Source organism: Homo sapiens, chromosome 7, assembly GCF_000001405.40.
Source record: "Homo sapiens chromosome 7, GRCh38.p14 Primary Assembly".
In the NCBI taxonomy this organism is placed as follows: Eukaryota; Metazoa; Chordata; class Mammalia; order Primates; family Hominidae; genus Homo; species Homo sapiens.
Genome location: NC_000007.14, coordinates 65,311,012 through 65,338,440, shown reverse-complemented (window position 1 = coordinate 65,338,440; position 27,429 = coordinate 65,311,012). Strand labels below are relative to the sequence as shown.

The 27,429-nt window shown below is 40.2% G+C and overlaps 1 long non-coding RNA gene and 1 pseudogene across 5 annotated transcripts in view; one reads left to right on the top strand and one right to left on the bottom strand.

The window, feature by feature from the left end:
• LOC105375334 (uncharacterized) overlaps positions 1-27,429 on the bottom strand; it is an 82,449-nt gene that overhangs the window by 13,382 nt on the left and 41,638 nt on the right. For 4 of the 5 annotated variants that reach the window (XR_001744938.2, XR_927613.3, XR_007060361.1 and 1 more), the window contains 2 exons: positions 24,688-24,871; positions 20,875-20,994 (listed from right to left, as the gene is read on the bottom strand). This is a non-coding gene — a long non-coding RNA (uncharacterized LOC105375334). Of the gene's footprint in view, positions 1-20,502; positions 20,995-24,687; positions 24,872-27,429 lie in introns of those variants that run through there. The other variant, XR_007060360.1, reaches the window with a different exon arrangement.
• Positions 2,724-3,439, top strand: RSL24D1P3 (ribosomal L24 domain containing 1 pseudogene 3; annotated as a pseudogene).

Here is a 27,429-nt window from a genome sequence, read left to right as displayed (position 1 = left end):
CCACCCCATAATCAAATCACTTCCCACAAGGTCTCTTCGTAAACACCTGGGGATTACAATTCAAGATGAGATATGAGTGGGGATGCAAAGCCTAACTATATCCTTCCACTCCTGGCCTCTCCCAAATCTCATATCTCTTTGACATTTTAAAACAAATCATGCCTTCACAACAGTTCCCCAAAGTCTTAATTTATTCCAGCATTAACCCAAAAGTCCAAGTCCAAAGTCTCATTCGAGAAAAGGAAAGTCTTTTCTGCCCAGCAGCCTGTAAAATTAAAAGCCAGTTAGTTACTTCCAAGATACAATGGAGGTACAGGCACTGGATAAATGCTCCCATTCCAAATGGGAGAAATTGGCTAAAACAAAGGGGCTACGGGCCACACTTAAGTCTGAAATCCAGTGGGGCAGTCATTAAATCTTAAAGCACTGAAATAATCTCCTTTGACTTCGTGTCTCACATCCAGGTCACACTGAGGAAAGAAGAGATGGGCTCCCACAGCCTTGGCGAGCTTCACTCCTGTGGTTTCGCAGGGTACAGCCCTTGCCCCCTGGCTACTTTCACAGGCTGGCATTAAGTGTCTTTGGCTTTTTGAGGTGCGTGGTGCAAGCTGTTGGTGGATCTAGCATTCTAGGGTCTGGAGGATGGTGACCCTCTTTTCACAGCTCCACTAGGCAGTACTCCAGTGCTGACTCTGCATGAGGGCTCCAACCCCAAACTTCCCTTCCACACTGCCCTAGCAGAGGTTTGCTATGAGGGGTCCACCTCTGCAGTGAACTTCTGCCTAGACAGCTAGGCATTTCCGCCATCTCGGCTCACTGCAACCTCCACCTCCTGGGTTCAAGCAATTCTCCTGCCTCAGCCTCCTGAGTAGCTGGGACTACAAGCGCCCACCACCACGCTTAGCTAATTTTTGTTTTTCTTTTTTTTTTTTTTTTTTTTGAGACGGAGTCTCGCACTGCTGCCCAGGCTGGATGGTGCAGTGGCACAATCTCAGCTCACTGCAAGCTCCACCTCCCGGGTTCACGCCATTCTCCTGCCTCAGCCTCCCGAGTAGCTGGGACTACAGGCGCTCGCCACCACATCCAGCTAATTTTTTTTGTATTTTTAGTAGAGATGGGGTTTCACAGTGTTAGCCAGGATAATCTCAATCTCCTGACCTTGTGATCCGCTTGCCTTGGCCTCCCAAAGTGCTGGGATTACAGGCGTGAGCCATTGTGCCCAGGCCAATTTTTGTATTTTTAGTGGAGACGGAGTTTCGCCAAGTTGGCCAGGCTGGTCTCGAACTCCTGACCTCAGGTGATCCGCCTGCCTCAGCCTCTCAAAGTGCTGGGAAGTTCCGATTTTAAATGAGCTCCTTGTGAATGCATAAAACTGAATGCTTTCAGAATAACCCAGGTCACATCTTGAATGCTTTGATGCTTAGAAATGTCTCCCACCAGATATCCTAAATCATCTCTCTGAAGTTCGAAGTTTCACACCATCTCTAGGGCAGGGGCAAAATACCACCAGCCTCTTTGCTAAAACATAGCAGGAGTGATCTTTACTCTAGGTCCCAATAAGTTCCTCATCTCCATCTGAGACCACCTCAGCCTGGACTTCATTGTTTACATCACTATCAGCATTTTGGTCAAAATCATTCAACAAGTCTCTAGGAAGCTCCAAACTGTCCCACATCTTCCTGTCTTCTTCTGAGCTCTCCAAATTCCTACAACCTCTGCCCACTACCCAGTTCCATAGTCATCTCAACATTTTCAAGTATCCTTATAGCAGTACCCTACTCTATGCAGTACCAATTTCCTGTATTAGTTCATTTTCACACTGCTATAAAGATACTACCTGAGGCCAGGCACAGTAGCTCATGCCTGTAATCCCAGCACTTTGGGAGGGTCAGGCAGGTGGATCACCCGAGGTCAGAAGTTCGAGACCAGCCTGGCCAACACGACAAAACCCTGTCTCTACTAAAAATACAAAAATTAGATGGGCATGGCGGCATACACCTGTAGTCCCAGCTACTCAGGAGACTGAGGCAGGAGAATCACTTGAACCTGGGAGGCAGAGGTTGCAGTGAGCCAAGATCATGCCACTGCCCTCCATCCAGGGTGACAGAGCAAGGCCCTATCTCAAAAACAAAGCAAACAAACAAAAAACATACTACCCGAGACTGGGTAATTTTTTTTTTTCTTGAGACGGAGTTTCACTCTTTAGCCCACGCTGGGGTGAAGTGGTGTAATCTTGGCTTACTGCAACCTCCACCGCCCAGGTTCAAGTGATTCTCCTGTCTCAGCCTCCTGAGTAGCTGGGATTACAGGCACCCGCTACCATGACTGACTAATTTTTGTATTTTTAGTAGAGATGGGATTTCGCCATGTCGGCCAGGCTGGACTCAAACTTCTGACTTCAGGTAATACATCCACCTCAGCCTCCTAAAAGTGCTAGGATTACAGGTGTGAGGCACCGCGCCCGGCCAAGACTGGGAAATTTATAAACAAAGGAGGTTTAATTGACTCGTAGTTCAGCATGGCCGGGAAGGCCTCATGAAACTTACAATCACAGCAGAAAAGGAAGCAGGCACATCTTACATAGTGACAGGTGAGAAAGGCTGTGCAAGAGCAGGGAAAACTGACATATCTCTGAGGCCAATATCTCTGATAAACATCATTGTAAAAATCCTTAAGAGAATACTAGAAAACCAAATTCAACAACACATTAAAAACATCATTCAACTTCCTCTCAAGCTTGGCATTCGGTCGGTAGGGACCCGCGGGTTCGACATGCATGTCGAGATATGTTATTTCTGTTTGGGGCCCACCTACCCTGGCCATGGCATGATGTTCATCCGCAATGATTGCAAGGTGTTCAGATTTCGTAAATCTAAATGTCATAAAAACTTTAAAAAGAAGTGCAATCCTCGCAAAATTAGGTGGACCAAAGCATTCCACTCAGAAAGCAGCTGGTAAAGAGCTTACAGTGGATAGTTAATTTGAATTTGAAAAACGTAGAAATGAACCTATCAAATACCAGCGAGAGCTATGGAATACAACTATTGATGCAATAAAGTGAGTTAAAGAGATGATCAAACAGAAACACTAAGCTAAATTTATAATGAACAGATTGAAGAAAAAGAAAGAGCTACAGAAAGTTCAGGACATCAAAGAAGTCAATCAAAACATCCATCTTATCTGAGGCTTGCAGGCAAAGGGAAGCAGCTGGAAGAGAAAATGGTACAGCAGTTACAAGAGGATGTGGACATGAAAGATGCTTCTTAAAAATCTCTGTAACCATTTATATACATTTGAAAATGGATATTGGTTTATTTTTTACATAAGGTCACTTAAATGGTTTCTTTTTTACATAAGATCACTTAAATAAGGTCACTTACATAAGGTCACTTAAATTGGTTTATTTTTTACATAAGGTCACTTAAATGAAAAGTGATTAAAATATATCTTTCCTACATTGCTATCTACAAAACATCAGATATTACGGATGTTAGATTGCATTCCAGTGTTAAATCTTCACTGATAGATGTATTTATGTAAACCATGAAAATTCTACTTACAACTATAGAAGTGAATTGTAGACGTAAAATAGTTCTGCCATTTGGACAGTGGCACTAGGTGGCATTTGTGTAATAACTAATGGCAAAAATTCATGGCTAGCGATGTATAAAATAAAATATTCTTTGCAGTAAAATATTCCCTTTATTAATGTTATAAAAGGGGGGATATGGCTGGGCACTGTGGCTCACACCTGTAATCCCAGCACTTTGGGAGACAGAGGCGGGCAGATCACCTGAGCAGGAGTTCGAAATCAGCCTGGCCAACATGGTAAAACCCCGTCTCTACTAAAAATACAAAAAATTAGCCAGGCGCAGTGGTGGGCACCTGTAATCCCAGCTACTCTGGAGGCTGAGGCAGGAGAATCTCTTGAACCCAGGAGGCGGATGTCGCAGTTACCCGAGATCACCCCATTGCACTCCAGCCAGGGCAACAGAGTGAGACTTTGTCTCAAAAAAAAAAAAAAAAAAAGTGGGGGGCGGATAAGGAACTAACAATTTGTATGACAGTGTCAAATATTATTTTGATTTTAGTATATCCTGTTCTGGTTTATTTGCATCTTAGAAAAGCATAACGGCATTGTTTGATGAAGTCTAATTATGCTGGACTGTTTTGACCTGATTTAACCGTTCTGATAGGTAGTTGTGGAAGTTGGGGATGAGAACTGAATAAATGGCACTACACTCTAGACTTTCCACTTTGGAGGATACTCAGTTCTAACTTGTGATTCCTGGCAGAACAAACTTTATTTTTCTAGTCTAGCAATGATCTAGAAGCAGAGGAATCCCAGTGCCTTCTAAAAGTTATTATCTGGTTTTCTTTTTAAAAAAAAACTCCTGTTTTTGTAAAGTAGAATTTATGGGTACAATATCTGTTCATTATTTGCACATAAAATAAAACCACTTTTAAAGTAAAAAAAAATAAAAATAAACAAATAAATAAAAAGATCATTCATCATGACCAATTGGAATTTATTCGAGGGATAAAAAGATGGTTCAACATACACAAATCAATCAATGTGATACATTATATGAACATAACCAAAGACAAATCCTTATGAACATTTTAAGTAATGCTTAAAATACACGTCATAAAATTTAACATTGGTTCATAAGAAAACCCTAAAAACACTGGGTATAGAAAGAACACACTTCACCATGACAAAAGCCATATATGATAGAACCACGTCTCAATTACATTAAGTGGGGAGAAACTGAAAGTCTTTCCTCTAAGATTTGGAACAAAAGAAAGATGCTTACTTTTACCACTCTAATTCAACATAGTCAGGGAAGTTGTAGCTACAGCAATCGCACAAGAGAAAGAAAGGGCATTCAAATAAGGAAGAAAGAAGTCAAAGTAATATTGCGTGCAGGTGATATAATCTTATATTTGGAAAACCTAGTCTCCATCAAAACAAACTATTAGAACTAATAAAAAAATTTAGTAAAACTGCAGCACACAAAATCAACATACAAAATGTAGTAGCATTGTGGCTAGGCACGGTGACTCAAGTCTGTAATCCCAGCACTTTGGGAGGCCAAAGGGGGCGGATCACTTGAGGTTGGAGTTCGAGACCAGCCTCGCCAATATGGCAAAACCCCACCTCTACGAAAAATTCAAAAACTAGCTGGGTGTGGTGGCAGACACCTATAATCTCAGCTACTTGGGAGGCTGAGGAAGAAGAATTGCTTGAACACAAGAGGCAGAGGCTGCAGTGAGCTGAGATCGCACCACTGCACTCCAGCCTGTGTGACAGAGCAAAACTCCATCTCAAAATAACAATAATAATAATAAAAAAAACTCCATCTCAAAAACAATGAGTAGCATTTCTAAATGCCAACAGTGAACAATCTGAAAAAGAAATCAAGCATGTCATCCCATTTACAATAGCAACAAATAGAAAGAAATGCCCAAGAATAAACTAAACCAAAGAAACAAGAAGATCTCTATAATGAAAACTATAAAACAGAAGAATGGAAAGATATTCTATTTTTATGGACTGGAAGAAGCAATACTGTTAAAATGTTCCCATTACCCAAAGCAGTCTAGAGATTTGATGCAATTCGTATCAAAATACCATGACATTTTTCACAGAAATAGAAAAAAAGATTCCAAAATTTATATTGAACAACAATAGACCCAGAACAGCTAAAGCCATCATGAGCAAAAGGACAAAATCAGAAATTACATTACCTGACTTCAAATTATACTACAGAACTATAGTAACCCAAACAGCATGGTTCTGGTATAAAATCAGACACATAGACCAATAGAACAGAATAGAGAACTCAGAAAAAAATTTGTATATCTACAGTGAACCTATTTTCAACAAAGGTGCCAAGAACATACATTGGCAAAAAGGGACAGTCTTGTCAATAAATTATGCTGAGGAAACTAAATATCCATATGCAGAAAAATAAAACTAGATCTCTATTTCTTAGCATATACAAAAATAAAAGCAAAATGGGCTAAAGACTTACATCTAAGATGTGAAACTATGAAGCTACTAAAAAATCCCAGAAAACTGGGGAACCTCTCCAGGACACTGGACTGAGCAAAAATTTCTTGAGTAGTACCTCACAAGTACAGGCAACTAAGCAAAAATGAACAAACAGGGCTGGGCGTGCTGGTTCATGCCTTTAATCCTAGTACTTTGGGAGGCTGAGGTGGGTGGATCACCTGAGGTCAGGAGTTCAAGACCAGCCTGGCCAACATGGTAAAACCCCATCTCTGCTAAAAATAAAAAAATTAACTGGGCATGGTGGCACATGCCTGTAATCCCAGCTACATGGGAGGCTGAGGAAGGAGAATCACTTGAACCCGGGAGGCAGAGGTTGTGGTGAGCTGAGATTGTGCCATTGCACTCCAGCCTGGGAAACAAGAGCAAAATTCTGTCTCAAAAAAAAAAAAAAAGGAACAAACAGGATTACAGCAAGTTAAAAAGCTTCTGCACTGCAAAAAAAAACAATCAACAAAGTGAAGAGACCACCCACAGTATGGGAAAACTATTTGCATAGTATCTATATGACTAGAGACTAATAACAGGAATATATAAGGTACTTAAAAATGCTATGAAAAAAATGCATTAATTCCATTAAGATTGGATAAAATAATTGTTTCTCAAAAGAAGACATATAAATGACAAACAGGTATATAAAAAGGTGCTCAGTATCACTGATTGTCAGGGAAATGCAAATCAAAACTACAATGAGATATCATCTCACTCCAGCTAAAATGACTTTTCCCCAAAAGACAGGCAATAATACATGTTGCTGAAAGTGTGAAGAAAAGTGAACTCTCATACACTGTTTCTGGGAATATAAATTAATACAGTGACTATGAAGTACAGTATGGAGGTTCCTTAAAGAACTAAAAATAGGACTACCATATGATCCAGCATTCACACTTCTAGGTATACATACTAAAAAATAAAAATAATTAGTATATTGAATAGATATCTGGCCTCCCATGTTTATTGCAGCACTATTACCAATAGCAAAGTTTTGGGATCCACTTAAGTATGCATCAACAGAGAAATGAATAAAGAAAATGTACTACATACACACACACAATATTATTGTGTACACACAATATTATTGTGTACACACAATAAGTACAACTTAGCCATAAAAAATGAGATTCTGTCATTTGCAACAAAGTGGATGGAATTGGAAGATATTATATTAAGTAAAATAAGCCAGGTACAGGAAGACAAAAACTGCATGTTCTCACTTATTTGTGGGATCTAAGAATTAAAACAACTGAACTCATGAAGATGAAGAGTAGATTATAGTTATCAGAGGCAGAGAAGGGTAGTGAGGAGGGATGATTAATGAGTACAAAATTGTAATTAGAATGAATAAGATCTAGTATTTGATAGCACAACAGTGTGACTACAGTAAGTAATAACTTATTGTACATTTCAAAATAACTAAAAAAGTATAATTGGAATATTCATGATACAAAAAAATAGTACATGCTGGAGGTGATGTATACCTCATTTACCCTGGTGTCATTATTAAACACTTTAGGCCTGTAAAAAAAAAAACTCAAGAAACACATTAATATATACACTTAATATGTACCCACAAAATTAAAAAATAAAAAAAATCTATTTACCAGGAATCTGTAACAGTTATATAAATTTACATATTTTTGTGTGTATATTACACCAAATATTGACAGAAATGAAGCAAGAAATACATAGCAACACAATAATTGTGTACTTCTAGACCAGACCCCACTTTCAATAATGAATAGAAAAATCAAATATAAGGTCAATTAAAAAAACAGAAAACTTGAACATTATAGGCAAATAGACCTAATAAACATGTACAAAACTCTTCAGTCAAAACTGGCAGAATACACAATATTCTCAATTGCACATGGCAAATTCTGTTAGGATACATAATAAGACATACAAAATTGTAAAAGATTGAAATCATGAAATATATCTTCTCTGACCAAAATAAAATGAAACTAGACATTAAAAGAAGAAAAAGTGGCAAATCCCAAATTACTTGGAATTATTTAAACACATGCTTGAACATATTTTTGTTCAAGGGTAAAATAATTTAATATTTTTAAGACTTTAATACTACCAAGAGTTATGTACAACTTCAATTTTATATATATCAAAACCCCAATGGTACTTTTTTGCAGAAGTATTTTCAGAATCCTAAAATTTCTGTTAGGGACAATGACTAGGCACGCATTCCCAAAAAACAAGAACAAAGAGGCATTACACTTCCTGATTTCAAAACATATAACAAAGCTACAGATATAAAAACAATGTAGTACTGACATAAAGACAGATAATTATATAAGGGAACAGAACAGAAAGCCCAGAGGCAAACCCTTTTACATATGATTAAATGAACTTCCACAATGTAGCCATGATCATCCAGTGGGGAAAGAAGAATGTCTTTAACAAATAATATTGAAAACTGAATATCTTCATTAAAAACACCACAAAGTTGGATCCTTTCCTTTCTCCAGATACAAAACAATCTTTTAAAGGGATTAACTAAACGTAAAAAACATAACTAATGAAATTCTTAGAAAAAGTATAGGAGAAAATATAATGACATCAGTCTTGGCACTTTCTTATGTATGGAATTAAATGTATAAATAACAAAGAACGGAAAAATGGGAGTATATCAAATTCCAAATTTCTAAAGGTCAAAGGAAATGGTGAAGTAGAAAAAGGTAAAAATATTTGCAAATCACATATTTGATTGGTGTTAGTATCAAGAACATATAAACAGTTCCTAAAACTCAACAACAAAAAAGTGAAGAACAAAATTAAAAATGAGAACAAAATTGAACTGATATTTCTCGAAAAATATACAAATGGCCAATAAGCATTTGAAAGGATGATTTACAAAAATGCAAAGCAGAATACGATGAGATATTATCTCACACCAATTAGAATAATGACTACAAAAAAAATCTGTCAAGAATGTGGAGACTTGAGAGAGAAAATTTGTAAACTGCTGCTGGGGAAATATGACTCTGCCAGTATAAAAAACAATATGGAAGTTTTTCAAAAAATTAAAAATGGAATTGTCATAGTATCCAGCAATTCCACATCTAAGTATACACACAAAATATAAGACACATAACCTGGAAGACATATCTGCACACACACAATATTTGTTTATTATAGCAATGTTTACAAAATCCAAAAGGTAGAAGCAACCCAGATGTCCCTAATGAGCAATTAAAAAAATGTGGTGTATATCTATCTATCTATCTATATATATGCCAAATATATATACACACATATATGTGCACTATAGTGGGTATATATATATACACACAACATATGTATACACACACATATACACACAATAGCGTTATTCAGCCTTTAAAAAGGAAATTTGGTCACATTCTCTAAGAATAAATCTTGAGAATGTAAACTGAAATAAGCCAGTAACAAAGTGACAGATAGCGTATGATTTCATTTTTATGAAATATCTTAAGTAGTCAAATAGAAACATAAAGTAGAATGGCATTAGTCAAGGGGTAGAGAGAAGGTGAAATAGGCAGTTGTTATATAAGGGGTATTGAGTTTTAGTGTTGCAAGATGTAAACATTCTAGAGGTCTTTTGCATTAAAATGTGACTATACATAACACAACTGAAACATACACTTAAAAAGATTGAGGCCGAGGCAGTTGGATCGCCTGAGGTGGGGAGTTCGAGACCAGACTGACCAACATGGTGAAACCCTGTCTCTACTAAAAATACAAAAAAATTAGCTGGGCATGGTGGTGCATGCTGTAATCTCAGCTACTGAGGAGGCTGCGGCAGGAGAATTGCTTGAACCCAGGAGGTGGAGGTTGCAGTGAGCCAAAATTGCACCACTGCACTCCAGCCTGGGCGACAGAGCAAGACTCTGTTTCAAAAAAAAAAAAAAAAAAAAAGATTTAAGATGGTAAATTCGATGTTATGTTCTTTACCACAATATTTTTCTTAAAGGATAACTAAAAAAATCAGAGTTATAAAGCTATCCAAAAATTACCTTCAAATCACAAAATTGTTTCACATAGAGAAAATACAAATTCATCAACAAACACACAGTAAAACTAAGATTATTTTCCTGACTACTCACCTAGACAAGATAAAAAAACATAAAAGATCAGCCAAGAAAAAATATATAAGATAAGCTATGAACAAAGTTGGGGTCATATTTATAGACAACATGCACATTCATATGTGTAATTTAAGAATGACAGCCATCTGGTGGATTCATTTTCTAATTAAGCCCCACATTAACTTAAAGTGCATATATAGAGTTGCAAATTGTCATCCAAAGCTATAATGCATAAGTAAAACCAAAAACACAATAAACTGATGTCAAGGAATCTACCCTAAAAGAGAAACCCAGTAATATGAATTGTACAACAAAAATAAGAGAAACATTTACCCATAAAATTCTGTAGGCTACATTGATGTACTATTAAGAAATAATTTTGCTAGATAACTACAGTGTTCAAATGTGCTTGTGCACTTCTGGAGTGGACACATTTGCAATAATTGGTGTCTACCATATGGCAGTAATTTTTTTTCTTTTTTATACTTTTTTTGTGAGACAGAGTCTTACTCTGTCACCCAGGCTGGAGTGCAGGGGCAGGATCTCAGCTCACTGCAACTGCCGCCTCCTGGTTTCAAGCCATACTCCTGCCGCAGCCTCCCAAGTAGCTGGGATTACAGGTGCGTGCCACCACGCCTGGCCAATTTTTGTATTTTTAGTAGAGATGTGCTTTTACCATGCTGACTAGGCTGGTCTCAAACTCCTGACCTCAAGTGATCCACCTGCCTCGGCCTCCCAATTTGCTGGGATTACAGGCATGATAGCCACCGCACCTGGTCCCTTTTATTCTTGATTTATTTATTTATTTTAACATGTATGAAACCAATCATCCCTGGTTGCTACAGGAGAATAGCAGACAGGTATAGTTAAGAAACAACTTTATTTTATTTTATTTATCTTTTTTTTTTTTTTTTGAGACAGAGTCTTGCTCTGTTGCCCAGGCTGGAGTGCAGTGGTACAATCTCGGCTCACTGAAAGCTCTGCCTCCCGGGTTCATGGCATTCTCCTGCCTCAGCCTCCAGAGTAGCTGGGACTACAGGCGTCCGCCACCACGCCCGGCTAATTTTTTGTATTTTTAGTAGAGACGGGGTTTCACCGTATTAGCCAGGATGGTCTCGATCTCCTGACCTCTTGATCTGCCCACCTCGGCCTCCCAAAGTGCTGTGATAACAAGCGTGAGCCACCGCACCTGGCCTATTTATCTTTTTTTGAGATGGAGTCTCACTCTGTCGCCCAGGCTGGAGTGCCATGGCACAATCTCAGCTCACTGCAACCTCCGCCTCCCAGGTTCAAGTGATTCTCCTGCCTCAGCCTCCCACGTAGCTGGGATTACAGGTGCCCACCACCATGCCCGGCTAATTTTTGTATTTTTAGTAGAGATGGGGGTTTCACCAAGTTGGCCAGGCTGGTCTTGAACTCCTGACCTCAGGTGATCCACCCGCCTCGGCCTCCCAAAGTGCTGGGAATACAGGCATGAGCCACCATGCCCGGTCAAGAAACAACTTTATTTTGAGCACAGGAAATGACAACAGCACTTAACAGCTATATCATAGTCTAAATCCTGCTTTGGCAGTAAAATTTTACAGAAAATGCACTACAGTCAATAAGAAAATGCTCTAATAAGAAAATTTTAATAAGCATTTAAAGACAGTAAAGATAATTTCTTACTATTAATATACTGATGCTATCTTTACACAAAATTAAAAGTCTGCAATCCAGTCTTTAGAAGCAAAAAAAAAAAAAAAGCCTTAGACTTCTAAATAAAGTAAAAATGTGTATGTTGAAAACATGAGTCACTGATATATAAAATAAAAATTTTGGAATAAATTATATAATAATTTCGATATAGGTTGAGAAAATGAAAATCTTGATGTATTTCTGGCTACTATAAAACTTACAAATGAACATTTTAATAAATAAGGAGTGCCTAGTATCTAATTAACTTCTTACGTAACATGTAAATTACAGTATATTGTTTTGAACCTTTGAATCTAAAATTACAGACAAATTTGAAAGACAGAAAAATAGAAAGTGAAACCATATTGGGAGAGTGACATCAGCAGGAATGTGGAAATAGGGGGGTCACTCTTGTTTATCCTGCCAGAGCAACAATAATTTTGCTGCCATCCATGGACAAAAGTGCCTTTATGAGACTTTTGGGATCCAGGGAGAGTACTGTGATGCCCTGCAAAAGCCCAAGACTGAGGAGGGCTGTATTGGGAAGGCAGGCCCTCATTCAGGTGGCAAACTTGAGGGCTCCTGATCTTGGTTACAGACCAGAAAATGACTCACTCAACTCAGTCACATTGAATATTCTGAAGTGACTCTGTAATCATCTCCGATGCCTTCTAGCCACGGTCTAGAAGCAGTCCTTCCCGGAGACCTCAGGACACTCAGTCATGGTCATGGAGGCAGGCCTACAGAACTTGGTCTTTAGTCTTTACTGTGACCTCTGAAGCAGGTCTGTGACTCAGTCGTAGCCATCTTAGCCACAGTTCATGGACAGTCCTGCCTACTTGGGAACCTACACAGAGACCCAAGGAAACCCTCCCAGGTACTCAGAAGGAGCCACACTCATCTACACATCTTGTAACAGGCCTACCTTATGTGAACCCAACGGCAGAACCCTGCCCTGGTATCTGCCCCACAAAACAAAGTTCTGAAAGCAAAGTCTGCTCAAAATAAGAAAGGATTTACAAGAAGACTACATTATGTCTAATTCAAATACTTCTATTTTAACATATTACTGAAAATCCTAGGTATAACAATGTGGCAATAAAATGAAAAAAGCCATCTGAAATTAAAAAAAAAGAAAAATGTCACTGTTTGTAGATGACATACTCTTATATATAGAAAACAATAAATAGCTGGCGCAGTGGGCTCACGCCTGTAATCCCAGTACTTTGGGAGGCCGAGGCGGGTGGATCAGCTGGGCTTGGGAGTTCGAGACCAGCCTGCCCAATATGGAGAAACCCTATCTCTACTAAAAATACAAAATTAGCTGGTCATATTGGTGCATGCCTGTAATCCCAGCTACTTGAGAGGCTGAGGTAGGAGAATCGCTTGAACCCCGAAGGCAGAGGTTGCCGGGAGCCAAGATCACGCCATTACACTCCAGCCTGAGCAACACGAGCGAAACTCCATCTCAAAAAAAAAAACAACACAATAAATAGTACACCAGAAAGCTGTTTAACATAATAAATGCATGCAGTAAATTAGCAGAATATAAAATTGGCATACAAATATCAATTGTTTTCATACACTAACAACAAACTATCCAATAAAAAAGAAAAAAATAATCTCATTTAAAATAGTATCAAGGCTGGGTGTGGTGGCTCATGCCTGTAATCCTAGCACTTTGGGATGTTGAAGTGGGCAGATTGCCTGAGCTCAGCAGTTCGAGACCAGCCTGGGCAACATGGTGAAACCCCATCCCTACTAAAACACAAAAAAATTAGCCATGCGTGGTAGCATGCACCTGTAGTCCCAGCTACTCGGGAGGCTGAGGCAGAAGAATTGCTTGAACCTGGGAGGCGGAGGTTGCAGTGAGCCGAGATCACACCACTGCACTCCAGCCTGGGTGACAGAGCGAGACTCCATCTCCAAAAATAAATAAAAAAATTAAAAAAGCATCAAAATAATAAATTTCTTAGAAATTAAACCAGATAAAAGACCTTTATGATGAAAAATAAAAGATATTAATAAAAATTGGAGAACACACAAATGTAAAATTGTGCCACATTTATAGATTGGAAGAATACATACTGTTAAAGTTTTCATGTTATCCAAAGCAATCTATAGATTCAATGAATTTCCTATCAAAATTCTAGTGACCTATTTCACAGTGATAGAAAATATAAGCTTAAAATTTATATGAAACTCTAACAGACTTTGAATAGCTAAAGCAATCTTGAGAAAGAAGAAAACAGTTGAGGGCATTATAGTTTTGATTTCAAACTATATTTCAAGACTACAGTAATAAAAACGTGATGCCATGCACATAAAAGTGGACAAAAGAACCTATGGAACATGGTAGAGGACCCAGAAAAAAACCTATTTATATTAGGTCAGTTAATCTTCAATAAGGGTACTAAGAATGCACAATGCAGAAAGCATAGTCTCTTCAATATTTGGTGCTAAATAAATGGATATCTGCAAGCAAAAGCATGACATTAGACCATTTTTCTTAAATTATACCCAAAAATTAACTCAATATAAAATAAAGACTTAAATAAAACACATGAATCCTTTAAAATTCAAAAAGAAAACATATGGTAAACCTCCTCTATATTGGTCTTGATGGTAATTTTTTGGGAAATGGTACCAAAAGTACAAAAACAAGAGCAAATATAAACAACTTGGACTACATCAAACTTAAAAGTTTCTAAACAGAATGCAACAAGAAAAATCACAAAATAGGAGATAATAATTGCAAACCATATATCTGTTAAGTGGTTAATATCCAAAATATATAAATAACTCATACAAATCAAAGGTGAAAACAACAATAATAAATATAATAATAATAACCCGATTTAAAAATAGGTAAAGGAGGCCGGGCACGGTGGCTCACGCATGTAATCCCAGCACTTTGGGAGGCCAAAGCAGGCAGATCACGAGGTCAGGAGTTTGAGACCAGCCTGACCAATATGGTGAAACCCCATCTCTACTAAAAATACAAAAATTAGCCAGGCGTGATGGCACGTGCCTGTAACCCCGGCTAGTCAGGAGGCTGAGGCAGGAGAATCACTTGAACCCGGGAGGCGGCGGTTGCAGTTGAGCTGAGATCACGCCATTGCTCATGCCTGTAATCCCAGCACTTTGGGAGGCTGAGGTGGGCAGATCACTTGAGGTCAGGAGTTAGCGACCAGCCTGGCCAATATGGCAAAACCCTGTCTCTACTAAAAATACAAAAATTATCTGGATGTGGTGGTGCACGCCTGTAATCTCAGCTACTCGGGAGTCTGAGGCAAGAGAATCACTTGAACCTGGGAGACGGAGGTTGCAGTGAGCCAAGATCATGCCACTGCACTCCAGCCTGGGCAAGAGAGTGAGACTCTGTCTCAAAAAATAAAAAAATAAAAATAGGTAAAGGAATAATTTTTTTTAGTAAAGACATAGAAATGGCCAACAGATATATGAAAAACTGCTCAGCATGACCAATCATCAGGCAAATGCAAATTAAAATCATGATGAGCTATCACTTCACACTTGTTAAGATGGCTAATATAAAAAAAATGAGACATGTATGTTACTCAGGTAATGAATATCCTAAAAGCACTAATTTCACCACTGCAATCTATTCATGTAATAAAATTACACTTGTGCTCCCAGAGTTTATACAAAAAAAAAAATATATAATGTTTTGAAAAGGGTGTGAAAAAAATTCTGTACTCTGTTAATGAGTTATAAATTGGTAGTCATTATAAAAATCAGTGTGGAGATTATTTAGAAAAAAACCCCACAGAACTACCATACAATACATCAGTCCCACTTCTGTGTATATATATAATATATAGAAATAAAATTAGTATCTTGAGTATTTGGATCCCCATGTTACTTGCAGCATTATTCAAAATTGCCAAGATATAAAAACAATCTAAATGTTGTTGAATGCTGAATGGATCAACAAAACATGTTGTATATATACTCAATGAAGTATTAGTCAGTCTGACAACATGGATAAACCTGAAGAAAAATATGCTAATTGAAATAGGACGATACTAAAAAAGCTAACTTATGGACTCACCTACTCATCACTTAGAGTAGGCCCCAGAATAACAAATGATTTATATGCACATTGAAGCTTGAGAGGCAATGCTTAGCTAAGTGGCTCTTAGCCCAGACTTCTAATTAGGATTACATAGCCAGTTTTAAAAAAGTCCCATCACCCATGCCTCCTCACAGATTATGTCTGTTGATCTGGATGGGAGCGTCTATGTTGTTTTAATTAAGTGCCCTTGTGGTTCTAATGTGAGGTCAGGATCATGCCTGAGGGCTCCTAGAGACATTCTTGAGAACTGAATTCGCCCCTTATTTCTATTTTTTTTTGAGATGGAGTTTTGCTGTCATCACCCAGGCTGGAGTGCAGTGGCGCAATCTCGGCTCACTGCAACCTCCGCCTCCCGTCAGCCCTTGTTTCAAAGGGAAGTTGCAGACCCTGCTCTGCTTGGGTTTGATAGAAGCAGGCCAGTGCAGCCATTATTCCCATTGCTGCAGCAGAAATTACTGAAATCTTTGGCAGAGACAGGCACTTGCAGGAGGGAAAGGAGAAACAAATGTTGATCTTTATGTAGGAGCTCACTGTTCCTGACTCTCTCCTGGGATAAAAGACAGAGAAGTGTGACTTTTTATGCACTTCTACATCCTTCTGCCTGTGGGTGCAGTGGTAGCAGGTGAAGGGGTTGTGTTGATGCCTTTACAGGAATATTCTCAAGATGCAAGTTTTGGCCGGGCATGGTGGCTCACTCCTGTAATCCCAACACTTTGGGATGCTGAGGTGGGCGGATCACAAGGTCAGGAGTTTGAGACCAGCCTGACCAACACAGTGAAACCCAGCCTCTACTGAAAATACAAAAATTAGCCACGCATGATGGTGCGCACCCGTAACCCCAGCTACTCAGGAGGCTGAGGCAGGAGAATCACTTGAACCCGAGAGGCGGAGGTTGCAGTAAGCAGAGATCGCACCACTGGGTGCCTGGATGACAGAGTGAGACTCAGTCTCAAAAAAAAAAAAAAGAAGCAAGTTTTATTTTTTCCAGAGGATCTCGCCTGACAAGGAATCTCAGAGAATAAGTAAAAAAGAGAATAAAATGACTGGGTTTTGGGTAAATGTGTCCCAGTTCAGAGGCTGTGTCCACTTTTCCTCCTGGAATGTTACATGTTTAGAACTTCAAAAACCGTTGCTTCTCTACTTGTGATATTCCTGCCTATGTGTTTTTTTTTTCAACTACATTTTCCCCTTTTCTTCCTGTGGTGGTCAAAGAGCTCTGCAAAATTTCTCTCCTCTATATACCAGAACCTTCCCTCTACTCTCTCCATTCAGGCTTTATACACACCATGACCAAACCTCACTATGAATGTATTGCATGCAATATTAAAAGTGTTCCATTTGGCTAGCCATGCTGGCTCACACCTGTAACCCCAGCACTTTGAGAAGCTGAGATGGGAGAATCTCTTGAGTCAAGGAGTTTGAGACCAGCCTGTGCAATATAGGGAAACCCTGCCTCTACAAAAATAAAACAGATTAGCTGACATGATGTCACACATTTGTGGTCCCAGCTACTTAGGAGACTGAGTTGGGAGAATCACTTAGGCCCAGGATGCTGAGGCTGCAGTGAGCCATGATCATGCCAATGTACCTAGCCTACATGACAGAGTGACAGCCTGTCTCAAAAGAAGGTTCCCTTTGTGACAGATCAACAAGAGCAGGCATGAACACCCAAGATTTCTGTTGGGGATAGGGTCATGCCCTCAGATATTGGTGAAGAAGGGGAACACATGCTCTTTAGGTCCCATCTGGATGCTTCCATCTGCTCCATGCGTAACAGAATTAAGGAAATGCGGAAAGAGGATGGCATTAATTCCCCAGAATTTCTCCGAAAGTTTTGAACAAAAGAATACTTAGAAGACACTTACTTTTTATGATGCTAAAGAAAAAATATTTAACTACATTTACTAAAGATTACAGAACCTGGGATATTTCTGTAGCTTAATCTTTGAATAAAACTAATGTATCTCTATAATTAGATTCAGATTGTAATTTACTTCTTTGTGTTCAATAATATCACAGCTCTGGGTGCGGTGGCTCACGCCTGTTATCCCAGCACTTTGGGAGACCGAGGTGGGTGGATCACGAGGTCAAGAGATCAAAAGCATCCTGGCCAACATGGTGAAACCCCATCTCTACTGAAAATATATAAATTAGCTGGGCGTGGTGGTGCACACCTGTAGTCCCAGCTACTCGGGAGGCTGAGGCAGGAGAATCACTTGAACCTGGAAGGTGGAGGCTGCAGTGAGCCAAGATTGTGCCACTGCACTCTGGCCTGTTGACAGAATGAGGCTCCGTCTCAAAAAAAAAAAAAAAATTACAGCAGTGATATTGTGCCCTCTGTGTGCATTAGCACTTATACCAATTCTTTCTATTACAGTTCATGTTAATTTTATTCTGTTGGATAAGGTGCTGACAGATTTTTTTAACTGTAGAGTTAATGATTTTTCTCTTTATTATTAATAAGTAACTTTAGGAGATTTACCAACTGATGTTCATAAATCATCACATGTAATCTGGAGTCTCCCAATTCTTTTCAAATTCTCCTTGCTTATGGCTTGCTTTAGAAAATGGAAGTTCTCACCTTTGTGTACTGGGATAAACCCAGGCTCTGCCATGTACTTAATATTTGACAGGATATTCTCCTTGGGCCAAAAGCATCGGCATCACTGGGTAGCTTATTAGAAATTCAGAAACTCAGGCTTGAGCCCAGATCTTCTGAATCAAAACCTGCATTTTAACAAGATCTCCAGTTCATTGTTTTACACATTAAAATTTGAGGCATACCTTCTAACCGACCATAACTTCTTCATATAAGAAATATTCAGCCAGGCTTGGTGGCTCACGCCTGTAATCCCAACACTTTGGGAGGCCGAGGCGGGTGGATCACAAGGTCAGGAAATCCAGACCATCCTGGCCAACATGGTGAAACCCTGTCTCTACTAAAAATACAAAAATTAGCTAGGTGTGGTGTTGGGCGCCTGTAGTCCCAGCTACTCAGGAGGCTGAGGCAGGAGAATTGCTTGAACCCAGGAGGCAGAGGTTGCAGTAAGACGAGATCTCATCACTGCACTCCAGCCAGAGTGACAGAGCGAGACTCTGTCTCAAAACATTAAAAATAAAATTCATAACTTAGCCTGTATAATGTAAATATATCAGTAAAAAATATATATGCATGGGTTAATGCGCTAAATTTTATGCTGTCTCATCCACAAAAGGATACTCACTACTCTAGTTTAGTGGATGTTTTGCCATTCTTCTTCAGCATTAGAGAATAAATTAGAGAGTATTTCTGTGTTAAAAATTATTTTACTGGACAACTCCAGTCACTCATATACGTCAGAGCCAGTTCTTTTTACTCTCTATTTTCTTTCTTTCTGTTTTTTTTTTTCTTTTTCTTTTTTTTTCTTTTAGACAGAGTCTTGCTCTGTTGTCCAGGCTGGAGTGCAATGGCACAATCTCAGCTCACTGCAACCTCTGCCTCTCGGGTTCAGGTGGTTCTCCTGCCTCAGCCTTCCGAGTAGCTGGGACTACAGGCACCTGCCGCCTCGCTCAGCTAATTTTTGTATTTTTTAGTAGATACGGGGTTTCACCATGTTGGCCAGGCTGGTCTCGAACTGCTGACTGCCTTGGCCTCCCAAAGTGCTGGGATTACAGGCGTGAGCCACTGTGCCCGGCCAACTTAGATTTTTTCACAAATAAAAAATGGATAACTATTGTACACAATATAATGATTTTTTTGAGACTGAGTCTGGCTCTGTTACCCAGGCTGGAATACACTGGTGTGATTATGCCTCACTGCAACCTTAATCCCCTAAGCTCAATTGATCCTCCCACCTTAGCTTCCTAAATAGCTGGGAGTACAGGTGCAAGCCACCACACCTGGCTTATTTTTTTTTTAGTTTTGTAGAGATGGAATTTTGTCATGTTGCCCACACTGGTCTCAAACTCCTGATCTCAAGTGATGTGGCTACCTTGGCCCCCCTAAAGTGCTGGGATTATAGACATAAGCCACCATGCCCATCCTGTGCCCATATTAAATGAGCACTTAATATGTATATAAATTGTGAAATAATTTTTTTTTGAGACAGAATTTCACTCTTGTTGCCCAAACTGGAGTGCAATGGCGCAATCTTGGCTCACTGCAACCTCTGCCTCCTGGGTTCAAGCGATTCTTCTGCCTCAGCCTCCCCAGTAGCTGGGATTACAAGGCACACTAATTTTTTGTATCTTCTGTTTTTTTTTTTTTTTTGAGACGAAATCTTGCTCTGTCACCCAGGCTGCAGTGCAATGGCACATCTCAGCTCACTGCAACCTCCGCCTCCTGGGTTCAAGCAATTCTCCCTTCCTAAGCCTCCCGAGTAGCTGGGATTACAGGCGCCCACCACCACACCTGGCTGATTTTTGTAGTTTTCGTAGAGATGGGGTTTCACCATGTTGGCCAGGCTGGTCTCGAACTCCTGACCTCAGGTGATCTGCCTGCCTCAGCCTCCCAAAGTGCTGGGATTACAGGCGTGAGCCACTGTGCCCTGCCAGTTGTGAAATAATTAATTCAATGAAGTTAATGAATACATGTATCATCTTACATAGTTTCCTTTATTGTATCAAGTATACAAAAACATTATTATCTACTATAATCATGATGCTATATATTAGATTCACGAACCTTATTTATAACTAAAAGTTTGTACCCTTTAAACAACATCTTCCATTTTCCCTACCTCTTGGCTCTGGTATCCACCTTTGTACTCCCTGCGTCTAGGAGTTCAACCTTTTAGATTCCTCATACACGTGAGACAAATAAGAAATATTTGTCTGTATCTTCCTATTCTTCCTATTTTTAGTAAGTCCCCTGTTAATGCTCATGCTGCTCCCCCAGACCCATCATCAGTAGCACTCAGGTGGAGAAAGCAGGCACAGCACTGAGTCACTCAACCCAACACTCTTACCACAATACGGATGCTTATGGTCCAAAGTGAAAACCACCAATCACCATCCTGAAACATAGCATTCTCTGCTGGCCTTTAAAGTTTAAAGAGGCTGGAGAAGGCAGCAATGTCTGAGTGAGTCTGCATTTGGAAAAGAACATATGTACATGCATCAGTGCAGTATTTACTGAGAATATGCTGTGTGCTCAACAGTATGCTACAGAGCACAGTGCTGGGAACCTCACATTATGTGAGTGAATCCTCATAATACCATGGGAGGTGGGTACTAAGTGTCCCATGATTCTCAGAATTTAGATAAAAAGCCCAGCATTTCTGTTTCTTCTTCTGTTTTCCTAACATTAATTTTATTTTATTTTATTTATTTTTTTGAGACAGAGTCTCTCTCTGTCACCCAGGCTGGAGCGCAGTGGCACAATCTTGGCTCACTGCAACCTCCACCTCCTCGGTTCAGGTGATTCTCCTGCCTCAGCCTCCTGAGTAGCTGGGATTACAGGCGCATGCCACCACACCTGGCAGATTTTTGTATTTTTAGTAGAGACGGGGTTTCACCATGTTGGCCAGGCTGGTCTCGAACTCCTAACCTCACGTGATCCACCCGCCTCCACCTCCCAAAGTGCTGGGATTACAGGCGTGAGCCACCACACCTGGCCCTAACACTGATTTTAAAAAGAAAATGTATATAATAAAATTTTAACTAGACAAGTAGGAGAGATACAGAAAAGAATGGTTAAGCTTAATTTAGAGGAATTGTTATATTTATATTTACTTTTTTGTGACTTGCATGGCAACTACTGGATCTCCAGGAATAGAGAACGGGTTGCTAGGTGGCATATGTCTCTAGAAATACTTGTTTTAATTTAAAAAAAAAAAAAAGAGAGAGAGTTCTCTTTCATTTATCTGCTTTTAGCTTTCAGGAAATTGTGAGCAGCAGCTCTAGAGAGGCAGCAGAAGCCGCCACTCAAAACTCTGATCTCCTTTAATCAGTCTGTAAGGGGAGATTCCAGGGTGAGGCAAGACCTGGATGAGGCCTCAGAAGAGGATGGAGTTAAGCAGCCCTAGAGTAACGAGGGGGCCACAGGATTCTCATCTCTATGCTGCTGGGGTATTTCCAGGTCTGTCTTTTCTAAGTCTGTCCAAGGGAAACTTGACTTGAAGTTTGTAGAATTGTCATCTATTTTGGCCAATTTTCTGTCTGTTTTATAACATATAATAACATACATACATGTTAATTTAACCAAAAACCCCTATGGTTTTCTAGCACAATTATAAGCTAAACATGTATTCTTAGCAAGGTAAAAGCAATAGAAATAATGATAACAATAACAACCGTTCTGTGCATCAATAGCCCTTCAGCTGGTGACATAACAACTCTGAACAATGTAAGGGAATTGGCCCCAAAGGAAGCCCAAGTTCCTGTACACCTCCCTTCTTTGTACTGACCCCATAATTCTGAATTCAACCATTTATCCATGTGCTCTAGGCTGAAACTGCCAGGATTGTAGAGATAGCGACTGCCTTATCTGTTTTTTCTAATGCTCATTTTTAATGGAAGCAATTGATTTATCGATCTGTCTCCAGAGCTCCTCGTTCATTACCCAGAAAACTGGAGAAACACCCATCTGGGTACCAACCAAGGAGATTCCTTCTGTGAGGGGAGGAAAAAATCCTGGATGATTCATTCCCCTTCCTCTGAAATGGGAACAGAATTAGACCCTGCTGTCAGCCTGACACAGCTGTGCCAATCTGCACAGCACATCCCCAAATGTCTCAAAGACTCCCAGGTGCTGGTGAGAAGGTCCCCAGTGAGCCTGGACTGAAGCCCCCGTGGTTATCCAGGCAGGAGAGACTCAAGCTAACTCTGCATGATCGGAATAAAGAATAAACCTGCCCTGGTGGAGCTGCAGACCCTGGATCCAGGTGTGATATCACTTGTTTGTGATCAGCTCACTCTTGGGTAAGAAAAAGAACAAGAATACTCTACTACAGAAACACAGTTTACAGGTGGGTTAATTGTGGTCATAGCTCTGGATATTGTGTGGCCCTAACATCCTTCTGCTAAGGTGCTTGTTTAACTTACAGATTCTGCTACCAGATTCTGTTTACACCAGGAACATATCACACAACTATAGCAAGTCACTAAACATTATCTGGAAAATTTGAAGGACCTCACCCTGAAAGAAGAGCACTAAGATTTCTACGTTGTTCTCTCATGATGAAACAAATGTGCCCCATGGGTTTTCTGTACATCCTCAATCCAAAATCTGACCCTATCTTGTAAATTCCAGGTGTGCAGATTTTAGATGGGATCCACCTGTCTCTGCATTTTGGGGGGTTACAGCAAGTGGAGTAAAAGCAGAGGAGAGATTCCCTCATGGAGACTCCTGTAACACATTCTAAGGAAGAAGATGAGGCAAAAGTAATACAAGTAGAGAGTTTATTTGGGCCAAGTTTGAGGATTGCAACCTGGGAGCATAGATTCAAGTTTCCCTGAATATGCACTTTGACTAGCAGCAGTTACAAGTGGATTTTTAAACGCAAAAATTGAGGACGGGACATGGGCTGTCACAAAGTTATTTGTCAGGACATCTTATTGATTTACAGAAATAATATTGATTAGTGATTGGCTTACATAGGGTGTAGGCTACGATTTCAGGTGTGGTATTATTAGTTAATGTATAGTCATTTGTAGCAAAAGCAAGCAGTTTCAAGATATGAATACATAGGTCAGGTGCAGTGGCTCACACCTGTAATCCCAGCACTTTGGGAGACTGAGGTGGGCAGATCACCTGAGGTCAGCAGTTTGAGACCAGCCTGGCCAACATGGTGAAACCCCGTCTCTATTAAAAATACAAAAATTAGTCAGGCGTGGTGGCACGCACCTGTAATCCCAACTACTCAGGAGGCTGAGACAGGAAAATCACTTGAACCCAGGAGGCGGAAGTTGCAGTGAGCCAAGATCACACCACTGCACTGCAGCCTGGGCAACAGAGTGAGACTCCATCTCAAAAAAATAAATAAATAAATATATAAATATATAAATAAATACGTAGCTCAAAGAGGGGAGCAGGACATGATTATAATCTCCTTTTAATGTCTCTATGGGCCTGATAATTAAAGTTACTTGCATTTCTCAGATGAAACTTACATTTTTTAGGACCTATATACAGAATTTGAAGATGCCAATTTGGGTCTTAGCAGGGTGAGGATGCAGCGGTGAACTCTGTGCCTCCCTAAGCATTATGGCAGAAGGAAAATGAGGGGAATTAAGATTCTCAAAGCTACTTATTGCACATGTGTGAGCCTGGATGGGTTTCGAGGCCCCATGGTCTCTGAACCAGTTTCAGGTATAAAGAATGCCAAGGGCATAAAAAGAGGTAGACTGGCTGACTGCTGTCCTCTGAAGTTATTTATGTGGAAACCTGCTCTAACTGCTCTGACATGACTGTGGATCCCAAATAGGCAGAGACACCACTCTACCTGCAGATTTTGGGGGCAGCATGCATGTTGCTGCACAACTGTGAGTTACTGAGTGGAAAGGACCCCTCTAGTGTGAAGCCTGGTGGGCACCTCATATGTTTATAGTGTGTCTGGCAATTCTGGACAGTGTTCATAAAATGTAACTGAAAACTTAATTGTCTCCAACTCCCCCAAACACTCGCCAAAGTAGAATAGAAAGCAAATTATTATTACACAGTTAGACCAGAATCTGATTTAAATTACAGGTAACCTCATAACAGACTGAAAGACATAATTAGTCCTCAAGTAGGACACTTCACAGCACCATGTGTCATATACAGTTTATCCTAAATTCACCTGGTAATTGGGGAGGCCATCTGTGGTTGCTGACTGGCATATCTGAAGGAAAAATAATGGTCCCAAGTCCAGGAGGGACAGAAGGTAATTTTGAAACTTGGAGCAAGCTGTGCGATAGGGCTCTAACTTTTTTGCTGTTTACATTTCCGAGCAATCATTTCCAGGTCCTAGAGAAAGACTTTTCCTAGAAAAAAATAACAAAAGGACTGTTCAGCCATTAAAAATATTAACACATATGTCAAAGAGGCAGAGAAAAAATTAAATATAAAAGTTTTCTGAATTAAATGCTTTAAGGAAGGAGAGCAAATTTTCTACTCTTACTTTCAAGTTGGAAAATTAAGTCTTATATTTCTAATTTGTACTTATGCTTTCAACAGCCAAGTCCAGGGAAGTTGGTCTTAAACTCATGGGTATTTGAATTCCAGTAAGTCTGGACTCAGGCACCTGAGGGGTAGCCTCGGCCACACTGTATGCACTTGAAATAAAGTCTGTGGAAAATAAAATGTCAGAAGAGAAAAAAATGCTATTTAGGACAGACGTGTGAGGGACAATGAAGAGTTGCTGGAAGGACTGGTTTGTGCTACAAATACTGGCCTAGGCAGGATTATGCTCTGACTTATTTCTGTTTCCATAAGGATGAGAGTATAATCAAGTGGTCCAGAAGCCTAGGTGCATAAAGGGACCACATTACTGCCACTGATTCAGGGTGTTGGGGCAAGGATATTCCAGGAGTTCTCTAGGCATATGTTTGGGTTTTTGGTGGAAACCTCTAGGTTCCCACAGAGCAAAAGCACTGTGGGTGCAATTCCTGAGTTTGTACGTTTGTCCTGGGAGAAGCAGGGCCCTGTCGTTACCTAGAGCTAGAGCACATGTGCGTGAGTGGGTGAAAATAACATGGTGGCAGCTGGGAGAAAAGAGGGGTCTGTCCTCAGAATTGATTTATTCTGTGTTGTGAGACAAGAGAAATAGCTCAGAGCTGTCTATGTGACATATGCAAAATCAATCACACTCAGAGAGACATGAATATGAAACTTAAGTCATCCCACCCCACCCATGCCTGGAAGCAATTGTTTAGATATTTTCTTCCCAACTAGTATCTCACTCATCTTCGTGTTCCTGAAATTGGTGACACAAAGTGCAATGCACGGCCAATCAATAGTTTATGTTATTTTATTTATTTATTTATTTTTAGTTTTTTGAGACGGAGTCTCGCTCTGTCACCCAGGCTGGAGTGCAGTAGTGCAATCTCGGCTCACTACAACCTCTGCCTCCTGGGTTCAAGAGATTCTCCAGCCTCAGTCTCCCGAGTAGATGGGATTACAGGCGCCTGCCACCTTGCTCAGCTAATTTTTGTATTTTTTAGTAGATACGGGGTTTCACCATGTTGCTCAGGCTGGTCTTGAACTCCTGACCTCAAGTGATCCACCCATCTAGGCCTCCCAAAGTGCTGGAATTACAGGCGTGAGCCATTGCGCTTAGCCAGTAGCTTATGTTATTTTATTTTTTGTAATTTTTTTTTTTGAGACTAAGTCTCACTCTTGTCCCCCAGGTTGGAGTGCAATGGCGTGATCTCAGCTGACTGCAACCTCTGCCTCCCGGGTTCAAGCGATGCTCCTGCCTCAGCCTCCCGAGTAGCTGGGATTACAGGTGCCTGCCACCACGCCCGGGTAATTTTTGTATTTTCAGTAGAGATGGGGTTTCACCATGTTGGCCTGGCTGGTCTCGAACTCCTGACCTCAGGTGATCCGGCCGCCTTGGCCTCCCAAAGTGCTGGGATTACAGGCATGAGCCACCACGCCTGGCTGCTTATGTTATTTTAATGTAATGCTTAGAAAACAACTTATAAACTATTTTTGCTATTTCCCTTTGCAAAGCCATATGTAACTTTGGCTAATGTTCCCAGATAGAACTGTGTCCAGCTGCATGTTCTTGCAACCCAATAACAAGATGCAGGCAAACTGGAAAAGAAGAGAGTTTTTTTCTGTAACTGGGTACAGGGAGAAAGTCAGAGATAATTCACCAGACCAACTCAAGATTCTAAAGTTCTTCCAGTGCTTATATATATTTCAAACTATATGCCTACGTGTAATATTATACTCGCCTAAGTTTATGGGGGATTAATTTTGTTTTAACTAAAAGATCAGAGCCCATAAATGTCCCCTAAATCTACTTAATTTGTGAGGGCCCCGGTACCAGTGTGATTACTTCCATCCTGTCTTACCTATGGTTTGGGTCTGGAGAGTTGCTTCAGACCCCCAGTAAATTTATCTGACCCAAGATGGGTCTTGGTACGAGGAATGTAGGGCTTTCTTTCTTTATTATCTTGACTTGCCTCAAGTTTCAGAAGCCTGGGCAAGATTCTTACCAAACATATGTTTCATTTCTGGCTTTGCTGTTGGGGCATCAATTTCCCCAGGTTTAACTGCTACCTTAATGTTAAGGCAGATGCTGTGGTAGTTTGAATGTATAACTGGAGTGCTATGGAGGCCTGTCTGTGTGACTGTTAGGAAGAATTGGCCTGCCACAATCCCCACTGTCAATTTGCGCATGATTTCTATCATGCCTAAGCTGGAGGGACTGCAGGGATGTGGGACGTCATGATCATTCTGGCTACTTCCTGCTGAGGGGGGTCACTGTTAGGGGGCAGTGAACATGGGATTGGAGTGGCAGAGGTTCATTTGCTCTTGGAAATACTATTGGCCTCAGGCTTTTAGCAGCAGCACCTGCTGAAACATAATGGCA